The sequence below is a fragment of the Homo sapiens genome, chromosome 6, assembly GCF_000001405.40.
Source record: "Homo sapiens chromosome 6, GRCh38.p14 Primary Assembly".
Taxonomy (NCBI): domain Eukaryota; kingdom Metazoa; phylum Chordata; class Mammalia; order Primates; family Hominidae; genus Homo; species Homo sapiens.
Genome location: NC_000006.12, coordinates 36,314,435 through 36,340,092, shown reverse-complemented (window position 1 = coordinate 36,340,092; position 25,658 = coordinate 36,314,435). Strand labels below are relative to the sequence as shown.

Below are 25,658 nucleotides of genomic sequence, written 5' to 3'. Positions count from 1 at the left end.
TAGTTGCACCATTTTCCACTCCCACCAGCAGCGTATGAGAATTCTGTTTGCCCCACATGGGCTCTGACACTTGGGATTGTCCGTCTGAGAATGACAGCACAGCAGTATGGCTGAGTCCCGCAGACATGCGGTGAGAAAAGCCAGGCATAAAAGAAAACATGCAGACCGATGATGCTCAAAAATAGGCAAAACTAATCTAATCTGGGAGTCGTGAGGGCAACAAGGTGGGTTCTGGGGTGCCAGGAATGTTCTCTTTCTTCATCTGGGTGGTGGTTACACAGGTTTATTCCCTTCGTGAAAATTCATTGAGCTGTCTGCCTGTGATCTGTGCACCTTTTTATACGTTATACTTAAATAAAAATTTTAAAGATATTCTCTCTCAATCTCCCTCTCTCTCCCTCTGCCATCTTCCCTCCCAGCACATGGTTGGGAACTGTCACCTTCAGAGCCCCCTTCAAGGCTGTGTGACCTGGACTGTTGCACAGGGTGTGCACTCAGAAGGGCAGGGGGCTTGGTTTAATGTTCTGCTGTCTGTCTTGAAACTATTAATACGTTTTGAACAAGGGTGCTTTGTTTTCATTTTGCATGGGGGCTCACTCGTAGTGTAGCCGACCTTGGCCCTGGGACAGGCAGCTGCCAGAGTCTGTCTCCAGATCGTGGAGATCGTCTCCAGGATATGGTCTTTGGCAGGCACTGAGCACAGGGCTAGGTTGCCCCCCGGACCCCTGATGGAGAAGGCGTGGGATGCCCAGAGCTGCCCATGATGGTTCTCCCTCCCGTGAGAACCTAGGAGCGTATGTACCTGCAGATGGGATTGCTGGGTACATGGGAGATGTCTGCACGGTGTGCCACGTGGCTGTCTGCCCCTCCCCTTCTTTTTATTGTGGTAAAATATGCATGACATAAAGTTGACTGTTGTAACCTTTTTAAAGTGTACGGTGCAGTGGCATTAAGCACATTTTGATTGTTGTACCACTCTCCACCATTGAACCATCTCCAAACTCAAAAGTTGAGTTTGAGTGTGCCTTGTGAAAATCCTCCACATCTCAAAAGTTGTGGAGATGGTTGAATGGTGGAGGTAGTGGTACCACATTCCTCTCAAACTGAAACTCTGTACGCATTAAACAACTTCCTATTCCCTTCTGCTTGCTTGTATGATTTTTCTCTGTGTGTTTCTCTCTTCCCAACTACTTTATGGACTCCATGAGGGCTGGGCCAGGCTGGGCATATTCACCTTGGAATAAGAAAGAACACATACAATACACACAGGGCCTGGAAGAAGTGGTTGACACAATAGTTTCATTAAATAAATGAAAAATATGTAATATTATTTAACATTTGTTTGAAGGCTGAGTGACTTCTTGGACTAATAAATTCTAAATTTAGTGCTGAGACAGTGTCTGTCACATAGCTGGATCCAAAACCTGTTGACAGAATGAATGAAGCATTAATAACTCTGTTGCCCGTAATAAAACATTGGCCCTTTATTGAGCCCTTACAAGTACCAGGCACTGTTAATACACAGAAAGAAAGATGTCTGGCACTCCATACATTTCCTTCCTTCCTTTCCTTCTCTTTCTTCCTTCCTTTCCTTCTCTTTCTTTGTTTCTTTCTTTCTTTCTTTTTCCTTCCTTCCTTCCTTCCTTCCTTCCTTCCTTCCTCCCTCCCTCCCTCCCTTTCTTCCTTTCTTTCCTTCTTTTTTTCCTTCCTTTCCTTCCTTTCTTCTTTTTTCCTTTGAGACAGGATCTCACTCTGTTGCCTAGGCTGGAGTGCAGTAGCACGATCATGGCTCACTGCAGCCTTGACCTCCTGGGCTCAAGCAATCCTCCTGCCTCAGCCTCCTGAGTAGCTGAGACTACAGGCATGTGCCACCATGCCTGGCTAATTTTTAAAATTTTTAGTAGAGATAAGATCTCACTATGTTGTCCAGGCTGGTCTTGAACTTCTGGGCTCAAGCAATCCTCCTACCTTGGTCTCCCACAGTGCTGGGATTACAGATGTGAGCCACCATGCCTGGCCTTCTTCTTTTCTTTGTAAGCATTATCGCATTTGGCCCAACTACCCTCTGAGATGACTACTTGTTTTATAAGTGAGCACAAGCTCAGTGACATCATGTCCCCTGCTGTGGTTACACAGCTGGCAGGTGTCTCCAGATGGGGCTGACTCCAAAGTTTGGTGCTTCCATATATATTTTGTGATGCCTCCCTGTGTTAATGAACCAAAACAGAATTTCTTAATATTTTTTTCTTTTTTTTTCTTTTTTTTTTTTTTTTTTTTTTTGAGACAGAGTCTCACTCTGTCACCCAGGCTGGAGTGCAGTGGCACGATCTCAGCTCACTACAACTTCTGCCTCCTGGGTTCAAGTGATTTTCCTGCCTCAGCCTTCCAAGTAGCTGGGATTACAAGTGTCTGCCACCATACCTGGCTAATTTTTGTATTTTTAGTAGAGATGGAGTTTCGCCATGTTGGCCAGGCTGGTCTCGAACTCCTGACCTCAGGTGATCCGCCTGCCTCAGCCTCCCAAATTGCTGGGATTACAGGTGTGAGCCACCGTGCCCGGCCTTTGCTTTCATTTTAATAAAACATGTTTTTCTTTTCTGATTATAAACATGTATTTACACTCTATTTTTTAAAATAAGGCATTACAGAAAGTGGAAATCTGACTTTTTAAGACTTCTTAGAATGTTCTCTCAAGATCCATGGCAACCCTTCCCGGGCATAGCAGATCTGGAACACGTGGCTCTTGTGGGCTCTTCCTTCTGGGTTGTCTCCAGGTCAAGGGATGTATGTATCCCATCGCTGACCTTTCTTTCTAGGTACCTCCCTCCCCACTAATCTTCAAAGATAACTGAGGGATGTTGTAAAGGCAATAAAGCCACCTCGACTTTCTCCCCCTAACCTGCATTTCCCATTAAGTCTTGTTTTCAACTCTACAGGTGGGGTTTTCCCCAGCCAGACCTTAGGTTATTTTCTGAGCTTTGGTTTCTTACTGGGGTTTGGGTGCAATAAGGAAGTTGACAAGTGAAACTGTTTTTTCCAGGGTAGCTGAGCTAAGCCTCTTATCATTGGAGGAGCGGGGAGCAGTCCTGGGATGGGTGGTAACAGGTGGAGGAAGGTGAGCCAGCCCATGGCTCTCTGGATTGGCTGCCATGAGCTCAGTTCCTGGGAGATACTGTATATATGGACGGCCAAAGCATCTTCTGAGACACTCAGAAAATTGCCAGCACCAAAGTAGTGGCATCTTCTCCCTGGGAGAGCTGGGTCTGACTTCTCACTGGACACAACTTCCAGCTGACAGGGAGCAGAGCCTAACACAGAGACCTCTTGTCTGAAGATCCCAGCCCAGGGTGTTCAGGACAGAAGCGATTTCTGTGGTCCAAGGTTGGTTGAACAATACCCTCTCCTTTGGGGGCGGGAGCAGTGGGTATGTATCTTGGGGTCCGGAGAAGAGTTTAGTCCTGGGTGTCAAACCAAGAGTCCAGTCCCAATGCTGCTTCCAGCATGCTGGGCCCTCCCAGAGAGGCAATGGGGGTGGAGGTGGGGGATCAGTTTTCTTATCTCTAAAAAGAGGGAGCAAGGTTCAATGACATTATCTCAACGGGGTGTTTCTCAAAGGGCTCTGGGCTCACTCGGACTTAAAACTCTGTATTCAAGTCCCAATCCTGCTTATTAGCCGCCACCCTGAGCAAGGAACTTCACTTCCTTGGGCCTCAGTTTTCTTGTCTGTAGGATGGGGCAGCATTACATAGCTCACCTGCTAGTTTCCCTCAGGATGTGGTAGAGGTCAAGTTATAGACTTTATGTGAAGGTACATGAGGGAACCCCCTGATAAATGAGAGGTGTTATTATGACCTATGGTTAAATTAAGGTTCTATGAGTTTTAAGGTTTTTGGAAGTTAGTCCAAGAATGGGGAAATCTTATTAAAATAACTCATGGTCTACTGCTCTCTTGGATGGGAATGTAGAGGCTGGGAGGTGGATTATAACCCACAGTCCTGACCGACTCCTCACACAGTGTTGCATTGCCCGTGGTCTTGGATAGAGGACAGAATGGGGTGGGGAGGGCATGGGTGTCTATACCTAGGCACACGTGATTGTGTGACTCCATGTGCATAGGTCATGGTAGGTGTGTATGTGACTGTGATTACCTCCATCAGTGTGAAATAGCAGGTTTCTCCCCTAAGTCCATGTGTAAGTGCGTGCATGTGTATCTATGCTTACATGAGGCCATTTGGTGTAGAATAGAGAATGTAGGATTTGAATCGGGAGAAGTGGGAGAGTCTCAGCTCTCTGCTTCCCGGCTATGTGACCTTGGGCGTGTCTCTTAATGGTCCGGAGCCTCAGTGCCCCACTGTTAGCCCATCTGATTCACTGCTCCTGGCAAAGATGAAATGAGATCATGTCAATGAAACGGCTCTCTGGACGCCGTGTGGCTGCATGAAGGTGAGCTGGTTTGGGTTTGCACATGCCTGTGTATCATTTGTTTGTTTCACAAACACTGAGAGCCTCCCAGGCTCAGGTCCCCTCTCATGGAATTTAGAGTTAGGACCGATGGCAAGCGGTGAGCTTGGTCACATAATTATTCCCTTACACTTGGGACAGGAGAAATACAGGGCGTCTTGAGTCCATGTTGGTCTGTGGTGTGCACAAGTGTGTTCTGGTGACACGTGGATGTCTGTGGTGTTGACTGTGGGTCCACGTGTGTGTGCCACACACTCTGTCCCTCAGGGTGCTGCTGTGGGTGTGCAGCAGGTTGGCTCTCTGTGAAGTTTCTATTGTGTGAATCATGGGGTGGAGAAGGGGAGCCGCGAAGTTATCTCCATGAAAGGCACCAGAGCAGTTAGAGAGTAACGCGGCCAGGTGAACAAATTAGAGAACAGCATAGAGATGAGGTCACCGTGCAACTTAGAAAGTAAACAACACACAGCAGCAAGCTTGGGGAAGGCAAGCAAACTTCCCGTTCCAGGGTCAGCTTTGTGAGCCTTCTCTGGTTCTTTGTTGCTGTTGCTGGACATGTCACCGGTAAATGTCACATCTTATCAGAAGCAGTCTTGTGATGTGCAGATCACTTGGGTATTTCTGAGCTGATTTGGACTTTGCTCTGACATCCACTTTCGGCCAAGGCAATAACAAGTTTACAAGATCAGCTGGGTTTCCGCATAGTGAGACCACGCTGCTCACTTAGGATTCCTGGTCTGGAGCACAGTCTGCACAGGGTGGGATTCCCTGGTGGTCGGACTGAACGTAGTTGAGCACCTGGGGCACAAAACAAAAAAAGAAGAAGAAAGGAAAGGAAAGTCTTGCTTTGATAAATCCTGGATAGCAGAATTTTATATTTGGAAAGTCTTGAACGGTTTAATTTTGGCACATGTAGGAAAGGGGAGGTTATTAGGATTAAAAGACAAGCTTCCCAGGGCTTAGAGACTGAGGACACCCCATCCGCAGAGGTTCTTCAGGGGTCTTCCTGGGGGCGTGTGGGTGTGTCTTCCCCAGTCAGCCGCGCTGTCTCAATCCCTGGCCTAGAGCTGAAGACAATCTTTGGAACATTACAGAGGAGGAGCAGTTGGAGCGGGGGAGAGGGAGGAGAGAGCTGGACTGAGGACAGTCACAGCCACCCAGAGAGGAAAGAGAAAAGAAGGAAGTAGGGCTGGTATCAAATACTGAAGCACGTAAGGGAGGACAAGACATGGGAAGAGGCCACTGGATTTGGAATTAGGAAACCTTGGGAGACCCTGGAATCTCTTCACTGGGGAAACTCTTGGATAGCAGAGGCCCCCTTCCTGCCTGCCTCTGGGCTCAGCAGCAGCAGCTGCGGGGGCTCCTGGCCTTAGTTCCTCTCATCTCCCCGGGGGCTCAGGGCACCGGTTATTCCAGGGAGGGAGCGGCCAAATCACCGCAGCTTTCCTGAAAAAACATCAGGGAAAGCATGTGCTGGTGGGATTGTGTTAATGTTCTGATCAGGAGGAGCAGCGTGTCCTTGGAATGTGGTAGGAGGATACTGCTGCCATTGGCAATGGCGAAAACCGTTTCCATAGCAATGACAGCTTTTTAAAAGATTACTGCATCTCTCTTCCCGTTAACTGGGTAAGGAAGCGCCGGTCCTCCGTGCGATGGGTCCCATGGAGCCAAATCTGTGCAGACGGAAGAGAGGCTGAGCTGAACAAGAGTGTCCTGGTTCTGTGGTTTTGTTAATGAACAGCTTCTCTGACAACCCCATCCAATTTTCCCTGACCACAGGAACATATGGAAAATGCAGAGAGAACCCTGACACCGTTCAGTAAATATTTCTGGTCAGCTTACTCTTTTTTAAATGTGAGCTTAAATCACATAGAACTTCAACCTAAATTTATCTTCTTTTAAGACCATGTGCCTCTGAAGAGAGAGCAGATGCAGGGGAATGGGACATTGCTGTCATCACTGTGTACTCACATCCTTATTCCTGCGCATTCAGAGAAGACCAGAATATTCCCTCTGGGGGCACACACTGCATCTTGTTCATGATTGTATCCCTAGCACTGAGCATAATTTCTGGTGCAGAGTGGGTGCTTATTAAATGTTGAGAGAAATAAGTGAGAACAAACATAAATATTTTCCTCTATGATCTCTTCTCCTTGTCCTACCCTGCATCGTCTTTGGAAACACAACCATAAGGCAGCCAGTCTCTGAGCCTTTCAGGAACATTAGTGAATTTCCATATAAGGTACAGATACATATTGCTAAAAGTTTCCATGTAGCCCAGATGTTCCTTTTAAGGAACATTAAACAACAAATAAGTCCTTTTAAATTGCCTGCCTCCTCCCCGACCTGATTTCTCATTTCCTCCAAGGTCGTCCACGTGTGGACACTCGGCCCCAATGGCCTCTGGCCTCAGCGACCTGGGGCTGCAATACCATCTGGTTTCCTTCCCATACTGGTGCTTGGAGGAGGGAAGGCATCCCAAATGTTCGTGTCACCTTCAAATATGTGTGTTCCCATTTCTTTTCTTCTTTCTCTGTATCTTCTTCACTTTCCTGTGGATCCCACACATAAGAAATCGCAATTATAGATTCTTATTTTTGCCTCTAAGCTGAGCATAGCAATAGAATACATTTTACAGTACATCCCATACCACTAAACATTACTTGGTCAATGCATGCTAAAGCTATAATGACAAATTAGAGCAGGCAACCTGTGGTCCTAAACTCCATAGGACTCTCCAGGGGCTCAGGTTTGGCATTCAAAACCATATTTTATTTTTCTTTTACCTTCCACTGAAGGGAAGAGGCCTTCTGAACAACTCTGGAAAAATTGGAAAGCCCCAAGAGTTTTAGATTAAAGACACACAAATCAAATGCACTGCCCACACCTAGGCGGGCTTGAAATGCTGCCCAGGTGGGAAAGGTTTTTTTTTTGTCATTTTTCATTGGCCGCTGCTTCATTCTGGATGGAGAATGGAAGAGCCCCCACTGCTCTAAGATGAAATTGGCCCGAAAGCACTGATTTCATGTTAACTACACATCCAAAGATACCTTACGTGTTGTGCCATTTACTAAATGTGTTATACATCTATTCATTTGTTTAATAAGTGCTTATTGAGTGGCAGTGATATGCTAGACATTGTTCTAGGCACTCAAAGATAGAAGACCTAGCAAAATAAACACAGGAGATGGAGAGAGACTCAGACAGGAAACAACTAAACACATAAAGACACGACATTGCACACCACCAGGCCGTAGGGTAGGAGGGGAAAGGGTGTGCTGATGGGCAATAGGCAGGGAGGGCCTCGATGGGAAGGTGACAGTTAAGTACAGCCTCAAAGGAAGTGAGGGAACAAACCATGAACAAACTCATTCTTTCCATGAGGGAAGAATGTTCTAGAAAGAGGGACTGGCCAGTGTGAAGGGCCTGAGGCAGGCGGGCCTGAAGGACAGCAAGCAGGGCTGTGTGCGTGGAGTGGAGTGAGAGAGATGTGGTCAGAGGGGTGATGGAGGCTGGGACGTGTGGGGTGTGACAGCCGCTTTAAAGACTTTGAGTGAAAGGGGACCTCTTGGAGGAAGGGAAGTAACTTTTGTTTTAAAAGCCCCCACAGCTGCAAAGGGGAGAAGTTACTGTAAGGAGGGCAAGAGGAGAGCAGGGAGGTCAGTTAGGAGGTGGTGGTAACAGCTCAGGTGAGTGCAGATGGGGACCTAGAGACCACAGGGGGCCGTCAGGGTGAGGACAGGCTCTATGAGAGTGAGGCCAACAGGCTCTGCTGATGGGTCGATGTGGGGGTAAAAGAAAGAAAGGAGGCCAGCAGTGGCTCATGCCTGTAATCCCAGCACTTTGAGAGACCGAGGTAGGTTGATCGCTTGAGCCCAGGAGTTTGAGACCAGCCTGCACAAACACAGCAAGACCCCATATCTATTTTCTAAATAAAATTATTTATTTTTTAAAAAAAGAGAGAAGTCAGGGGTGACTTTACATTTTTGGCTTGAGCAGTTGGAAGAAAAGAGTTGCCACTGACGGAGCTGCCTCGTGGAATATTCATGACAGCCTGTGAGAGAGGGCAGGGCTCAGGCATGCTTCAGATGAGAACACGGGGCCAGAAAAGGTGCCTGAGCTGCCCAAAGTCCCAAGGCTAGTGAGGGGCAGGACCAGGCCTCTGGCTCCGGCTGTATTCGTTTTCCATTGCTACTGTAACAAAAGCCCCCAGACCCAGTGGCTTTGGACAAGATGAATTAATTATCATGCAGTTCTGGAGAAGTCCCACATCAGTCTCGATAGACTAAAACCTAGGTGTGGACAGGGCTATGTTCCTTTCAGGGGCTCTGGAGGTGCGGCTGACCAGCCCTGAGATCTGAGCACAATCTTCCTGTGGTCCAGTTTTATCCTCTGGAAAATGAGAATAATGACCCCCATTCCCCGAGGGTTTTGGGGGAATTTGCACAAGACAACAGCTTTGAGAAATTGTTGACACTACTCACGTTAGTGGGCAGGGTGAATGGGCCCACTGGTCAGCACCAGGAGCCAACTTTGGTGTGCCCAGGAGGCCTCTGCTGAGGGAGCTGTTTGGCCGGGCGAGGTGGCTCATGCCTGTAATCCCAGCACTTTGGGAGGCCGAGGCAGGCGGATCACCTGAGGTCGGGAGTTCAAGACCAACCTGGCCAACACGGTGAAACCCCATCTCTACTAAAAATACAAAAATTAGCCGGGTGTGGTGGCGGGCACCTGTTATTCCAGCTACTCAGGAGGCTGAGGCAGGAGAATCGCTTGAACCCAGGAGGTAGAGGTTGCAGTGAGCTGAGATAGCGCCACTGCACTCCAGCCTGGGCAATAGACCGAGGCTCCGTCATAAAAAACAAAAACAAACAAAACAAACAAACAAACAAATCAAAACAAACAAACAAAAAAACTAAGGGAGCTGTGTGTTTTGGTTGCAGCCCGATGGAGAATCCAAGGTGCCCAAGGAGGCCCCTGGCGGAGAAGAAAGCCAGGTCTCTGGACAGGCCGCAGGCCCCCGGGAAAGGCTCGGAGTCGTGGGACTGCCATTGGCTCTCCCTGCCCACTGCCCCCTCCAGGAAGGCGCTTCACTGGACGACCAGTGATTGGGCCAGACATTCAGACAGCCCAGCTCCATCTGCAGAGGCTCACTGCACCACCGCTGCAGCCCCCACTCCCGAGGAGACCGGAGATTTTCTCCCCAGCGAGCAGAGGCCTTCGCAAGACACCAAGAAGGGGTGGCTGAAGACCATGCTGAACTTCTTCGTGAGGACGGGCCCTGAGGAGCCCAGAGAAAAGGCCAGCAGGAGGCCAAGGGGGAAGGAGGGTATCTCCCAGCATCCGGAGCCCCTGGAAGCAGCAGGGGAGCCAGCCCTCAGGAAGAAAGCCCACCACGACAAGAAGCCCAGCCGCAAGAAGCAAGGTCACAAGAAACACGCGGCCGAGGTGACTAAGGCAGCTCAAGACCAGGAGGCCAGAGGCCGAGAGGAAGGGTTGTCCAAGGCAGCTGCTGCCTTGCGCTCCGGGGAGGCTGACCTGGGCCCAGCTCGCAGGGGTGAGCGGACCGTGCCTGTTCCTATGGCAACCCCTAGGGTGCTCTAAACTTGCTCCAGGAGCCTCTCCACAGAGGGACAGGGATAGTCGGGGGAGCTGTCAGGGGCCGGCACCGCTGTGACTTCCTTCCTTCCTTCCTCCCTCCCTTCCTCCCTCCCTTCCTTCTTTCCTTCCTTCCTTCCTCTCCTCCTCCTCCTCCTTCTTCTTTCTCTCTTTTCTCTTTCCTTTCTTTCTCTCTTTCTCTCTCTCTCTTCCTTTCTTTCTTTTTTCTTTTTGAGATGGAGCCTCTGTCGCCCAGGCTGGAGTGCAGTGGCATGATCTTGGCTCACTGCAAGCTCCTCCTCCAGGGTCAAGTGATTCTCCTGCCTCAGCCTTCCGAGTAGCTGGGACTACAGGTGCCCACCACCACGCCTGGCTAATTTTTGTATTTTTTAGCAGAGACAGGGTTTCACCATGTTGGCCAGGCTGGTCTTGAACTCCTGGACTCAAGTGATCCACGGGCTGTGGCCCCCTAGTGTGCTGGGATTACAGGTGTGAGCCACCACGCCCGGCCCACTGTGACATTTCTTTGAGGTAGAACAGCACCGTGGCTGAGCGCTCCAGGGAGAACCACTCACAGTGCCGCCGTTCACAAGCTGTGTGGCCCAGGGAGGCAGCTTTCCTCTCTGAGCCTCAACTTTTTTCATGGATAAAATGAAGATAAATATAACGTTACTGTCTCATGGAGTGGCCACAGCCCACAAGGAAAGTGCTTAGTGCACAATAGCTGTTATTGCCAACTCCTATAGTTTTAGGAGCACAGACCTAGGAGAAATGAGAAAGCAGGGAGCTGGGTGAGGAGCAAAGCCCTGCTCCCACCCCACTGGTGCCTATGTGCTTCTGGGCTGCTGCTTCCAGGCCTTGGTTCTAGACTTGGCTCCATCAGGAGTAAACTTGCTGTGTGACCTTGAGCTTGAGCTGCTCCCTCTAGAACTTTTGATTCCCCACATGTAAATAAGGGTGCTGGCTCCCAAGGTGCCTTCCTATTCTGCCTCCCAAGGCTCTGGAGCTGAATGCCCACTGGCACCTAGAGGGAGGGGGGCTCTGCCTTGCAGCACTCAAAACTCAGTGTTTATGATGGGGAGAAGACTGAGGATTTGCGGGGAGGGGGTTAGCGAGAGAGGTGTCTTGGTGGAAGCAGCCTCTTCTCAAATAAAAATCTTAGTGGGTTTCTGATTTTTTGGTTAAGCCTAGAGCGGGCTGCAGCAGCACCTGTTGCACTGTGAATTCTGTGCTGTTTTCTCGTGTTGATGAACAAAGTCAGGAGAATGTCACTGACACACGCACATACACACCTACATACCCGTTTGCTTTCGTCTCTATTCCAGGTGGGGAAGATTCTGATCACCAGTCCTTCCTCATCAAAGTGGATGGTACTGGAGCTTTGGATGTTTCTCCCCATGCCACAGGTCATCAGCAAGAAGAGGAGCTCAAAAAGCCTGACCGTGAGTCGGAATCTCTAGTGACCTTTTTGCCTGTGGCTGAGGTGGCTGTTACTGAATGAGACGGATTGTTCTGAATGATTACTGAGACCTTGGATGGTGGTTCTCAAAATACATGCACTGGCCTTTCTTGCCTCTTTTGGTGCTTCTGGCCACGTTTGCTTATTTTAGAATTTCACAGAAGGGAGGCTGGGGAATTGGAAATGCTGCTGGCAAATGCTTCTGCCTTATGTGTTAATGAAAACGGAACTTTTCTTAGTCTTTTAAAATTTATTTTACTTTAAAAAATATGTAGAAGAATGAAAAGTATCATTCAATGCTTTGTATACTCACAGTTGTTTACACGCTGCCACAACTTGTATACTTATAGTTGTTTACACTCTGCCAGTTTGCTTTGTGTGGGTATCATTTTGTTGCTGAATCATTTTGGAGTAAATCATGCCTCATCCCTAAATACTTAAACATGCATCTCCAAAAGATAAGTGCAGTCTCACACAAAACCACAATACCATGAGTGCTCCTAATAAATGGAGCATAATCCCCTATTCATCTAATTCCCTGTAAAAAAGATGAGCATATTTTAGCATATATGAAATGAAGGAGCTATGCATATGTCAAAGAATAACTAAGAGGCATTGAGTTAGTTATTTTGCAGCTAATTGTTTTCTTACATGAGAGGGAACCAGCTGGTAGCTGAGTCAAGCGACAAAAGCCAGACAATTTATAAGTGACAGGGAAGTTAGGAGTAAAAAAAAAAAAAAAAGCAAACCCACAGACAGCCTGGGAACAGGGAACCTTGTTTGCATCTCTTTTCATGTAAACTCATCAGCTGGCACCTAGCAGAGGACAGTGTGGGCACATTGTCCTTGAATAGGCTGACTGGGGTATCAAAGGAAACCATTTCCATTGTCAGTGGCTTCTCCGTGCAGACATGGGGGTGTGGCTGAGGCATCAGCGTGGCAGGCTGTCTCTGTGTCATGCCTACCGACATCCTTTCATCCTCCACCTTAGTTAGCCCAGGTATCTACCATTTTCCCACTGGAATTTTGCAGGTTGGAAGATCAACATTAGCCTTGCAAAGTGCTCTCAAGCCCAGTCCCTCATTTGACAGCTTTCTGAGGGAGGCAGGACAAAGATTATCACCCACATTTCACTGGGAGAGATAAAGGCCCAGAGAGGTTAAGAAACTTATTCAAGGTCACACAGCTTACTGAACCCAAAGTAGACGTTCCTAGATCTGTGACTTTCAAAGGAAATAGTGGGGCACAGGTTGAATGCCTGAAGGGCTGACCTGAAATTTCCTGCATAAAGTGTCATGATTTGGCTTAGTGCCTTCCCCGGTGGATCTTCCAACCTTCTCTCAGAAGAACCTGCCCCTGGGATGTGGTGCTTTCCCTCCATTGTGTGGCCTAAAGAGTTGTTTAAGAGAACTATCCAAGATGGTAATTTAGAAGGAGTTGTCAGTGCATTTAGAAAGAATAACCGGATGCATTTGCTTTCTTCCAGAGGATGCTATCATTCAGATGATAGTGGAATTGCTCAAAAGAGTGGGAGACCAGTGGGAAGAAGAGGTGAGGAGTAAACTTTGCAGGTCTCCAGGGGCTCTCTGCCTTCTCCTCCTCCTCCTCTGCCAAGCTCCACCTGTCCTTGCAGGCCGGGCTCTAGTCCATTCCTTCCCTGAAGCCTCCTTCTGCAGCTTCAGAACTCAGCCCTCCCCCTGCTCTGGGCTCTGCTGCCTCCCCTCTCTCGGGGCCATCTTGCAGCTTGGCTGCTCTTCACTTGCCTCCAGAGAGCTTTCCCCCTCTCAGTGTCATGAACCTGACCAGTTTTTCTCCTCTCCCCAACAGCAATCTCTGGCCTCACAGCTGGGGGTGGCCCTGCCAAACCCAGCACCAGCTGTTAGGAAGAAATCCCAAGAGAAAAAGACAAGCCTCAAGAGAACCTCAAAGACAAACCCCAAGAAACACGGCTCCGAGGAGGCCAAGAGGGGGGCTGCAGATGTTTCCAGTCCAGAGGCCTGGCCACCCAAGAAGTCCAGCTTTCTGCCCCTGTGTGTCAGCGGCCATCGGCCTTCCATCTCCAGCAGCTATGGTGAGCAGGCTCTGCAGTTGCCATAGCAACCCTGCAGCTGCCTCCAGCTCTGGAACCTTCCCTGGGGATGGAATTGACCATTTTAAAGGTTGCGTTGTGCCTGGTCTGACTTTTGCACTCTGCCCTGAGTGGTGTGAGGATGACTGTGGGAAGACAGAAAGAATGCCAGCAGGTCACCTCCACACACAACACCTCAGCGAGCTCTAGGCAACCCCAATAAGCCCTTGATGGAAATTATGTTCCGGGATTTCCCAACCGTCAACATTTCTTGGCCGCCTCAACTTCTGCACCCTGGCAGGGAGGGGAGTAGTGTGTGCAAGAAGGAGCTGGAGCAGGGGAGGCAGGAGACCTGGGTTCTAGCATATTGTCTATGTCATTCCCCATCTTTGTGCCTCAATTTCTTCACCTGTAAAGTGAGACATTTCCCTGCTGCATATCTATAACACGATCAGTCCTCACAGCCATCAGATGAAGTGCAACTATTATCCCCACAGCCATCACATGGAGTACAACTATTATCCCCACCTTACAGATGAAGGACCTGAGGCTTTGGGAGGTAAAACAATGTGTTCAAGGCCACATGGCCCATGGATGATGGGGCCAGAGCTAGAGGCGGAAAGGATCAGACAAGTCATTTCTTCCTGGGCATCAGGGAGAACAGGTCATCCTGTTAGGTCATCCTGGCCAGGAGAATTTACATCTTAGAAAGGAGGGAGTGACGCTTAACACCAAAGAGGGGAATTTCAGGCCCATGGGGAGATATTTTCATGCAGGGGGATTCTGGCTATGATTCATTAATTCATGCCATGGGACCAGGCCTCTACTCTTCAACTTGTGGATCAAGTCAAAATGGTGGAGGGAGGAGAGGGCAGCAAAGCCCAGGAAAGCCAGTTCTATGGAAGCACAAAGGGATAAGGGAACTCGGTCTGGGCCAGTAAATCAGAGGCACAGCCCTGCCCAGCAGCTGTCTTCCAGCCCCATAAGTCCTTAATGTGATCCAGCCACGGAGCCCACTTTTAGTTTGTGCTAGCTTCTGTGCATAGTTAACAGCCCCAGACAGACAAAACACACCCTCGTTCTCCTTCTGCTTCTCAGGCTTGGAAGAACCTAAAGTCCAGGAGGCCCCATCTACAGAGGCTGGGGCTCCAGGTCCCTCCGTGCTTCCCACCCCATCAGAGAGCCAGGAACCTGGAGAGGAGCTTCCGCTGGACAGAGCCTCGGAATACAGTCAGTACTCCTCTCTTTTTCTCAGACACCCCTTGCAAAACTTCTGTTCTGACTCCCCCACTTGCAAAGAGACACTGAGCCAGAGAGAGGCAGTGACCTGTCCAGACCTCCCTCTGAGTACAGCAGGCTGGGGAGGCAGCTTGGGGCCCAGAGCCCAGGCCCAAGCCAGGCTGCCTGTCTGAACCTCGATAAATGGCGATAGTGTTGGTGCTTACCCTGATGAGGCAGACAGGAGGCAAAGGGAGGAAAGTGCTGGCCCACACCAAGGGCTCGGCCAATGGGGTGATCTTATGGACCTTGGTTTGAGTCTGGGCTGTGACCCCTTTGAGCTGTGTGGACTTGGGCAAGTTACTTCATCTCTGGTCTCAGTTTCTTCATCTGTGAAATGGGGGCAGCAAGTACCTGCTTTCTAGAATTGTCGGCAGCATTTAGGGCAGCCCCTGTTAGTGGCTAATATGTGTTAGGTGCCATTTGTTGCTATTATTGTCATTGTTGGGTGGCCCAGCTTGAGAGCAGAGCTCAGAAGTAAAAAGGATAGGGACAGGGGTAGGGGCCTTGGGAGGGAAGCTCAGCTAATGGCAGCTGCCATCGCTGTAATTATTATTTTACCATTGGCAGAGCCAGGCCTAGAAACATATATATATATATATATATATATATATATATATATATATATATATATATATATATATATATATATATATATAATATCACCGTCAGGTCTGAAAAGACCTGGAAAGATCTCTGCCCCCTATCCCCTGCCATTCTGCCTTGTTTGCTTTTCATAGAAAATATGCCTTGAAGGGAAATTCTGCCTGGACAGGGAGAAGGTGCAGGATGAGGGCACCTGTAGGGAATGGGCCTTTCCAGATGGCCCTGAGGGGCCTCCTCCTGGGTGTCTATTTAGAGGCCGTCATTGGTAAAGTGAATATGTATCCCATGAAACCAGCTCTGCCCTCAGGCCACCTCTGGCAGCTCTTTAGCCCCCTTGGAGAATCACCCAGGGAGCCACCGGGGCATTAGGAAATGAAGACTGACCGCAGAAGAGATTTCGTAGCACCAAAGTTAACCATGCGTGTTGATCTTTTTCAGAAGAATTCATTCAGAAGATCATTTCCATGCTCCAAGATGCAGAAGAACAGCAAGGAGAGGAGGTGAGGAAGACGCTCCCCATGTAACCCTGACCTCACTGTGGGCTCCCCAACCCTGCCTGGTGTAACAACTTCCCTGTCTCTGCTGCTCTTCTGTGTCCTGCTCCAGTCCCTCCTTTTTTTTTTTTTTTGGAGACGGAGTCTTGCTCTGTCGCCCAGGCTAAAGCACAGTGGCTCGATCATGGCCCACTACAACCTCCACCTCCTGGGCTCCAGCGATTCTCCTGCCTCAGCCTCCTGAGTAGCTGGGACTACAGGCATGCGCCACCACACCCGGCTAATTTTTGTATTTTCAGTAGAGACAGGGTTTTACCATATTGGCCAGGCTGGTCTCGAACTCCTGACCCCTGGTGATCCACCTGCCTCAGCCTCCCAAAGTACTTGGATTATAGGTGTAAGCCACTGCACCCGGACCCAGTCCCTCCTTCTTGAAGCTTCCCCAGCCCCCTCCAGACCACACATATTTCCCCAGCACTGAGCATCAACCACTCTTCTCTGGGCAACGCCTGCTAGCCCACCGTGGCTCTCTTTCCCCACCTCACCTGAGATCTCCTCAAGGTCAGGGGCCCTGACTCAGTTTCTCTCATCTCCCCCACAGCAACCTCAAGTCCAGCAGGAAGAGGTGGGTGTAGAAAACCCGGCCCCACACTGCAGAAGGAAATCTCAAGAAAAAAGGTCGAGCTTCAGGAGAGCGTTTTACCATAAGAAACACACCTCCAAGGAACCCAGAAGAGCGGGGGCAGCAGGGGCTGCCAGCCCAGAGGCCCGACGACCCAAGAGGCCCAGCTTTCTGCCCCTGTGTGTTGGTGGCCATCGGCCCTCCACCTCCAGCAGCCTTGGTGAGCAGGCCTGGTGTTGCCATGGTAACAGAGGCTTCCTCTTGGGCAAGGCTGCTGTGTGGCCTGTCTGTCGTTGACAGGCTGGCATAGTGGAGGATGTCCACTGTTGCTGAAAGCCCTGACTGTGTCTTTCCATGCTGAGTAGAGTGGGGGGTGTGGAAGTGTGGGGAGAGGTGAGGGTCCAGGTGCCAGCAGGACCCCACCCCCAGTAGGCCCTGCTCACTGCACACGCCCTCCCCTCCCTCTCCACACACAAACACTTAACAACAAATGTGATGGGAGATCCGTGCCGCTGTGCATCAGAATCACCTGGCCAGTTCATAGAAAAGCACAGAGAACTGGGTTTGATGAAGTAGGAGATGGCCTGGGCCTGTTTTTTCACTACACCAAAGCCTGAGGGCCACTGGTGTACAGTAATTCCCCTGACATCACAGAGTGCCTACTACCTGCTAGTTTCACACATATTATCTCATTTAACCTGCTTGCAACCCTGTGAGGTCAATCTTATCACTCCCACTTAACAGATGGAGAAAGTGAGGTTCAGACAGGCTAAGTGACCCAGAAAACCTGGCAGAGGGAAAGGGTTCATTTGGTGGGCCCTGCTGGCACACCTGTTTTAACTGCGCCCCTCCCAGACTGAGGAGGCAGAAAGGGTTGGTGGGCGAAAGTTAGGTTTCTGGAGAAGGCCAGGAGTGCACCACGAACTCCTCTGAGGCAGAGCCGGGGGCAGGAAACTCACCGAGGAGCCTGGAAACCAGCCCCTGCTTATGCCTGTGCCTCCGAACAGCTTCTTGTCAGGAACTAGATTCAGCTCTCTGCAAAACACTCAACAACTCTTTTTTTGCCCTAGATCCAGAAGATCTCGAGTGCCGGGAGCCCCTGCCCGCAGAAGGGGAGCCAGTTGTGATCTCAGAAGCACCCTCCCAGGCTAGAGGCCACACGCCAGAAGGGGCACCTCAGCTGAGTGGAGCATGTGAATCTAGTCAGTAACACCCCTGCTCTTACCTGGACAGCTTCCCGGGTGCTTCTCTTCCACATGGAGTTCACAGGCTGAATAGGGGATGGTTCTGAGGAAGGAATGGGGAAGGCAGCAGGCAAAGACCCCAGGAGACTCTAGGATGGGGCAGGGGGCACAGGCTTGGCCTTTAAACTGGTGCTGTTGGGGCAGAGTTGCAGGTAGAGGACACCTGTCTATCCTGTGGAATATAATTAACACCCCCATTCGTTTGCTTGAATGTTTCATATGAAATTCCTAGCTTGCTCCGGGTCTCATAAGCAGTGGTGTGCTGGCAGACAGGCTCTCCAATGGGAGAAGGATGCCCTACTTTGTAGCATTTGCAGATTTCCATGGCATAAATATTTTTACTTTGGCTGATTTCAAGCTGCTAACAGTTTATAACAACTAGTCCACAAATGAATTAGCCTGGCATGGTGGTGTGTGCCTGTAATCCCAGCTACTTGGGAGGCTGAGGCAGGAGAATCACTGGAACCCAGGAGGCCGAGGTTGCAGTGAGGCGAGATCGCGCCACTGCACTCCAGCCTGGGTGACAGAGCGAGACTCTGTCTAAAACAAAACAACTAGTCCACAAATTTCCTGAATATTTACAGTAAACTTAGTACGAGTAGGCCCTGGCACACCGCTGCTTAGAACACAGGTGGATGGGTGCATTCCTAATGGGTCAGTAGCCCTGGCATGTCCCCTCCCTGCATTCTGATGTGCTGCTCCTCGTCCAAACTCCCATTCTTGACTGTGCTACCCTGTAGCCTGGATAAGGGACACTGGGAGGCCTCAGTTTCCCACCTATCAAATGAAGCTGAATGTGGTTACAGGTGAGGCCCAGCAAACCAGAGTCCCTTCTATTTCTGTAAAGGGAACCCAAACAAGTCTCTCATACTCCAGCTCTAGTTTAAGGTAAGAATTGTCTGGGTCCATCATAACTAACGTGTGTGCTGAGTTTTAGAGAGAAAATATTGTCTTTCACAGGTGGATGTATTGTTGCAGCACTTTGTTTTTGGAAGGGAACTGGGCATCACCCAGTCAACAGTCACTCAATCCTCCTTTCTTTTCCTTAGAGGAGATCATCATCCAGAAGCTTGTGGCACTTCTCCAAGAAGTGGATGGCCAACTGGGGCAGCAGGTGAGTACCACTCAGCCCTCCCCAGGCCAACCCCAGGGCCTCATCTACCCACCTGGGTTCCATCCCCAAGTCTGCACCTCTGGGCAACTTTGAGCATGTCCCTTAACCTCTCTGAGTCTCGGTTTCCTCTTTTCCAAAATGAGAGAGAATTACCTACTTGACCAAGCTTAGTGCATATGTAGAAAACGCCAGACATGTAGCAGATGAGGGAACTGTTTAAAATAACACAACGCTCATGTGGCCTCCCTGCCCCAGCCAGGACCACTCCTGTCCAAATCAGCTATTGAAGTTCGGCTCATGTCCCCCGTCCTTGGAAGCCTCCTCCGCCCACACCTGGCCACTCCTGGCCCCACCCGCCCGGCTGATTCCATTCCCTGTGGTCTCCGGGTTCACTCTCGGTCTTGCCGTGCTCTTCAGCATTTATGTGGTCTCTCATTCTTTCAAGCTTGTTGATTTTCTCCCCTGATAGGCAGTCTGTAACAGAAGGTTCCCCACCCTTGGAAAACACAGCCTACTTTGAGAGACAAACACAGATCACATGTGAAGAGGTCAGGTTAAAGATGAGTAATCAGCATAGCGGACGCTCTGGGTGCCTCTCTTCACCACCAGAGTGCACGCTGGCCCATCCAGCTGCCAGCACCTGCCTCCTTGTGCCTGAGGACCCAGGGCCATTTTGCAACTCATGTGGGGGGCAGAATTAACAGCCTCCACTTCCCCATGAGCAACCCTCAACCAATGGCTGGTGGGAGTTGGTGGATAGAGACCCCAGCTCCCTTGCCTTTGTGGGGTATAACTGAGGAATGTGCTCTCAGCGAGCTCCCAAGGTGCCCTGAGTGGATTAAGCTCCAGTTGCCACCCCCTGGGCCGCCTTCCCATTCTTGTTCCAGGTCTCATTCTTCCATTAGCATTTCCTGGGATCATTTAATGAATAAAATGCCTGTACCCAAGTCCTTGTGTCTGGGTCTGCCTCTGGGGAACCCATTTAGTTATTAAGAGAAAGGAGCTTGTTGGAGGAGGCTTAGAAGGAATTAAATTCCTCTAACATCTGTACTAAACATTCCTGTACTAAACATTTTATATAAATTCTCTCATTTCATTCCCCACCCCTCCAATCCCCGCCCAGCAATCCTGGGGTTGGGTGGATACTTTACATTTTATGGATGACCAGAGGCTCACACACATAGTAAGTGCAACTTAAGCATCCCAATTCTAGACTGTTATACATTTAAATAATAAAGTATGATTATTTGTCAAATATGGAATGGCTAGGGTAGACGAGAAGACTCTGTGGGGTGTTTGCTTCTGAATTATCTGAGTCTAAAGACCTGTACTTCCACCCTTGCCCTCTACTTTGTCCTGCTGCTTTGAGCTGGACCTCGCAGAACAGATTCTGAGAGGCTAGGGGCAGTGGAGGGATGTAACAAGGGGAGCTCATCCCAGGGACAAGGAGTGCCCCGCCTGGCTGCATGGAGTTGTGGGAGGGGCAGTTGGCGGGAGGGGTACTGCCAGCAACACTAATGACCTGTTTTCATTTCCACTTCCAGATCAGGCGCCACCCCAGCTTTAAGAGGTTTTTTTACGAGTTCTCGGACTCCTCCCTCAGCAAGCTGGTAGCCACCCTGCGCAGCCAGGTGGCTCACTCCTCTAAGCTGGACAGGAACCGCGCCAGGAGACTCTACCAGTTTGACGTTAGCTTAGCTAACAAATTTGCTGGCAGCAACAGCCATGCCATGTGCATCCTCATGGGCCTAAGAGACCACTACAATTGCACCCAGTTCCCATACAGGGAGGACCAGCCGGTGAGAGAGGGCGGGGAAGACAATGGCAATGTAGCATGAGTGACAGCAGGCTCACAGCTGGCCTCCAGTGGGATCTACTTATCCTCCTCTCCCCTCCCCTGCTCAGTTCAGAATTTTTGGGTCTATCTCAAATGTCACCTCCTCACTGAGGCCTTCTGAGACAATTCTAAACCATGACAACCTTTTTCTTTTCTGAAACCTCACTGATTTTACTCCATAATTAACATCTTGTTTATTTGGCTCTAGTCTTCAATTACATGTACATTTCCATGCTTTTTGATAGAATGGCATATTGGACTGGCTACGATCTTAGCTTGCCTTGTTATTATTTTGTGGGCTCTGTTGCTTGGCTTCTCAATTCTAGGCTGTCATAAAATGTAAATAACAAAGTAAGGTTATCTATCAAATAAGGGGTGGCTGAGATAGACAAGAAGGCTCCATGGGCTGTTGGTTCTGGAAGGCTTCCAGGAGGCGATCACTCACTGACCTGGCCTTGGTTGCTTAATGAACAGCCTCTCTCCTGCCGTCACCTTCACTGTTCTGAGTGCATTTATGCTTTTCCTAATAATTTCGCCTCCCCCAAGTCTCTGAGATATTCCCTTCAGAGATGATGCTTGTCACTGATTTTTTTTTGAGACAGGGTCTTGCTCTGTCACCCAGGCTGGAGTGCAGTGGTGTAATCACGGTTCACTGCAGCCTCAACCTTCCTGGGCTCAGATGATCCTCCCACCTCAGCCTCTCAAGTAGCTGGGACTACAGGAGCATGCCACCACGCCTAGCTAATTTAAATTTTCTTTTTTTTTTTTTTGGTATAGAGATGGATTCTCACTATGTTGACCAGGCTGCTTTTGAACTCCTGGCCACAAGAAATCTTCCCACCTTGGCCTCCCAAAGTGCTGGGATTACAGGCATGAGCCACCACAGCTGGCCTGATTTTTTAAAAATTCTGAGCTCTCATATTTTCTGGTGGACTCTGATAAAGATTTCTTCATCCTTTTCTAATTCACTTAACATAACCTGCTTACAAACATTTGACCCAGATCCACAGCGTAGAAGCCTCTGAATGAAGGTGTAACTTTAGAGGAATGAAATGTTCTGTTTGCTGGTGTTGGACAAACAGGACCGGAACTTCTACATCCAAGTGGTCCCCTGGGAAACCTTTTGCAATGATGCTACTATCACCCGAAACACTTCTGTCTTTCTTGGAATTACCTTTAGAAGCCATTTGAAAAGTCTCTCAAGAGAGCTGGCTTATTTCATGGTAGTTGTATCTTGTCATTCAAATGCTCTCCTCTACTTCGGTTCATTTTCCTGGTCAGAAATCCTCCTTACCATGGACCTCTCTCTCTCCTTGGCTTCACTGTCTTCTCCTAGAGAATAGGAATGTTACAGATAATTTGCCCTCTAGGGTGGCTTAGGTAATAGCTTACAGATCGATCTGAGTTATTCGTGAAAGATATTATAGAAACATCAGTTCTGACATCCTCAGTTGCCCTGACTCCATCTTCTGGTTTTACTAACCATTCATTCATTCATTCATTCATTCATTTAACTGGTAGCTATTGACAGCCTCCTATGTGCTTAGTTGTGCAAAGGGCTGTGAGGCTCTGTGGAAGGTTCTGCCTTCAAAGGCTTCATCTGCCAATGGAAAAGACAACAGTTTGATGACAAAATTAAATAGCAACCAAATACCAAATGAGTGGTAGCTGAGGCCCATGAAGCAAGTAGGTCCTGGGAGCCTTCCAGGAGGTGGAGTTGCTGATTTTGACCTTTGAGAATGGGGAGGCTGTCTGGGGAGAAAGGATCAGGAGAACAGTGTCAGCAGGAGGTGTTGCAAGAACAAAGACCCAGAGATGGAGGCTGGGGTGGGGTGTCAATGGGATAATGGGAAGTCTGTTGTTTCCAGAATGAACCCATAAATAATTGAGCTGTGGCTAACACCTATGTTCTTTTTCTCTTCCCAGAACATCACAAGTCCTAAGGTTGAAAGTCCAGATTGAAAGCTGTGTCTTGCACTCAAATTCCCTTGAACTAGCCAAATGGTTCGCAGCTTTAGCCAGGAGACCCTGAAGATGCTCTGTGATGTCCCAATCCCTGCTTCACAAACGTGATGGAAGACAAGAGCAGACAATCATTCTGTGTCCATACCCTAGTATCTGAGAAGCACAGAGCATTCTTCCACAAGGCAAGACACAGAGGCCATGTCTGGGGAAATCAGCACTGGACTGGGAATGAGGAAGACTGGGGCTCTACCTGCTGAACCTACCCCAGACTTGCTGCATGACCCTCTACACATTCCCCCTCCTCTCCAGACTTTGGAGTCTAGGATCCCACCCAGAAGGCCTACTGATATTTTCTCAGATGTTCATGTTAACTGAGTCTAGTTTTTAAACTAAATTTTTATTTAATCTCTAAACAGAACATCCACATGCATCCAAACAGATATGCATCGAAGTGTATCCCATCATTTCTTCAGTTGACCAGTAGTTCTTCATGCTCATATGGATTTGTAGATGCCTCCCAGGAACTCTGCAGGCCCAAGATGGAAAAACCTAGAGACTGGGGACACTTGGTCTCTCAGAATCCTTCTAACCCTGTGTCCTGTCATTCTATGACTAGAGAAATGGAGCTGATACCTTGCACCTCTCCCATCTCATGGGATTGGCTAGGAGTCAGTGAGAAAATGGATGTGAAGAGTTCTGAAAATTACCTAGTGCCATGTCCATGTAGGCACTATAGCTTCTTTTGGGTAGTTTTCAGGAAGTGGAGGAGGGCTTCAATGGGCTGGACTGCCATGGATTGTTGCACAGGGGTGCACTGCTCAAGAGCACCATACTCCAGGAGGTACTATTCATGTCCTAGACATTGTGGATTTGTAGATTTATCATGACAGTTTTGCAGCTGGTAGCAGTAACATGTCTTGAGAAAAGGGCTATTTTTTGTATTTGCACAAAGGTGAAGTGTGGGGGTGCCAGAGGCTCTGCCTTCTGTATAGCTCAACAGTTTCAATAGCTTGACTCAGGTGTGAAATTTGCCACATGTTCATATCTATGTGCAGGAAGGACAAGACTGTAGACAGACAGTCGGCTCCCTTGGACACTGCCCAGAACATGTGGTCATGGGGGAAAGGGTGTTAAACCTGGATGGCAAGTGAGATCTTGTGACCCTTGGGGACATGGTATTGCCGTGTTGAACCTGCTGTCGCACCATGGGGTAGGACTGGGGAGGAGGAGCAGTCTAGAGCGGAGAGGCCCTGGGTGCTTATATGGGACTGGCCTCCAACCTGAGGCACTGGCTTCATAAGCTCAACTCAGCCTATCCGGAAAGCCATTTAGTTTTTATTGCTGCTTCTGAGAAGTGGGGGAGAGGTGAGCTATTTGTGGATTTGTTTTAGGCAGTGTTCACAATCATAGCACCTAAATATGAAGGATCAGAATAAGTTATGAAATGAAGGTCAGGAACCTTTTGTACATAGTTTCTTATTTGGAATGATGTTCTTTAAGCCCTATGAGTATTTGGTATGTGCTCCTGATGCTGGCATCTGAGTCTCATTTTTGTACCGTGTTATTTGAGCAAATAAATACATTAACTTGCACAAACCTGTGATCTGGGTTATTCACCATGGAAGCAAGACAGATACCCACCTGCCACATCTATGACTGTCTGGTGCCTGCAAGGCTGTGTGGGTTGGCCTCCTTGTCCCTGCCTGGATCCCCTCCAGGTGTCCCATCCTTGGAGCGCCAGCTCTCTGATGCAGTAAAAAAGTGTCCTGGGCTGGGTGTCAGAAGACTTGGGTTTTAATCCAGCTGCCCCCAGGCTGGGTGACCCTGGGGACAAGATACTTGCCCTCCAGACCTGACATTCTACAACTCAGTGACTCTCAATGTGACAGTTCATTGCATGTCCAGGAAAATCGGGAGCAGTACTGATTCCACCTTGTCTCTTATTAGTCCCCCAAATCTGGTGCTTAAATTCTGTCACTCAGAGCCAAGATAAAAAATTGTTAGACAAGGAGAACACATGGACACAGGAAGGGGAACATCACACTCTGGGGACTGTTGTGGGGTGGGGGGAGGGGGGAGGGATAGCATTAGGAGATATACCTAATGCTAAATGATGAGTTAATGGGTGCAGCACACCAGCGTGGCACAGTGTACATATGTAACTAACCTGCACATTGTGCACATGTACCCTAAAACTTAAAGGATAATAATAATTTTAAAAAAATTGTTAGAATACAGCGCTAGGTTTTTGGTCCATAAAATGTCTCCAAGAACAGACATTGATGATGTCCTTTCTCCTCTCTCAGGTGACACAAGAGTATCTGTTCCTCAACCCCTGAAGGCTCACCCTAATGCTCCAAGGAGAGCAGGAGGAGGCAGCATTATTATCCTCCTCTCACAGATGAGGAAACAGAGGCTCAGAGTAGGGAAGCACCTTGTTCACAGTCACACAGCCAGATACAGACAGAACCCAGCCAGGAGCAGGCTCTGATAACTCCTATTTTAGTGCCCTTCCCTCCAGTTATGATCTAATCCAGTAGTTCATTTATTCAACCAATGTTTATTGAGCACTTACTATGTACCAGCTCTGATGCTAACTGTGTGGAATGCACAAATGCAAAAGACAAAACCCCTGCCCACAGGATGCTCACAGGCCCCACTGGTTATGGGGCTTTTGTGCCAATATGAATATAGGGCACCCTGTGAGGGTGCTGTGGAGGGGTGGGGCCCCTCAACTCCCACCATAGATGTTTTTGGTCTTTTTCCCCCAAGTGCTGGCAAGTATGTAGAGCAACACAGATGGTTTTTACAAGAGCACTGGGGTGCATAGAGGTCCTGCTGCTTTGCATGGCTTTAAAAAGGTGGGCAAGTAACATTACAACATAATTAACCTAATTCCCTCCCTCTGAGAAGTCAGA

At 49.0% G+C, this 25,658-nt stretch overlaps 1 protein-coding gene across 4 annotated transcripts; it reads left to right on the top strand.

Annotated features, from left to right (window-relative positions):
• On the top strand, positions 3,205-24,332 carry BNIP5 (BCL2 interacting protein 5). 4 transcript variants are annotated; one of them, XM_011514597.3, is made up of 12 exons: positions 3,205-3,381; positions 9,399-10,012; positions 11,379-11,495; positions 12,999-13,063; positions 13,340-13,583; positions 14,679-14,810; positions 15,906-15,964; positions 16,560-16,800; positions 17,651-17,782; positions 18,874-18,938; positions 20,483-20,737; positions 22,702-24,332. In XM_011514597.3, exons 2-12 carry the CDS (start codon positions 9,403-9,405, stop codon positions 22,735-22,737), a joined length of 1,956 nt encoding a protein of 651 aa, XP_011512899.1. In that variant the 5' UTR covers positions 3,205-3,381; positions 9,399-9,402; the 3' UTR covers positions 22,738-24,332. The 4 variants fall into 4 exon arrangements, with proteins under 4 accessions (XP_011512899.1, NP_001010903.3, XP_011512900.1 ...); NM_001010903.5 differs by having other exon boundaries at positions 15,903-15,964; XM_011514596.3 differs by lacking the exon at positions 3,205-3,381 and adding an exon at positions 3,418-4,443 and having other exon boundaries at positions 15,903-15,964.

Excerpts from the sequence above, each read along its gene's own strand:
- BNIP5 (NM_001010903.5), top strand. The coding sequence starts at position 9,403 with ATGGAGAATCCAAGGTGCCCAAGGAGGCCCCTGGCGGAGAAGAAAGCC. Across the intron at positions 14,811-15,902 it reads GGACAGAGCCTCGGAATACA|AAGAATTCATTCAGAAGATC; the intron begins GTCAGTACTCCT and ends GATCTTTTTCAG. Across the intron at positions 17,783-18,873 it reads GAGTGGAGCATGTGAATCTA|AGGAGATCATCATCCAGAAG; the intron begins GTCAGTAACACC and ends TCTTTTCCTTAG.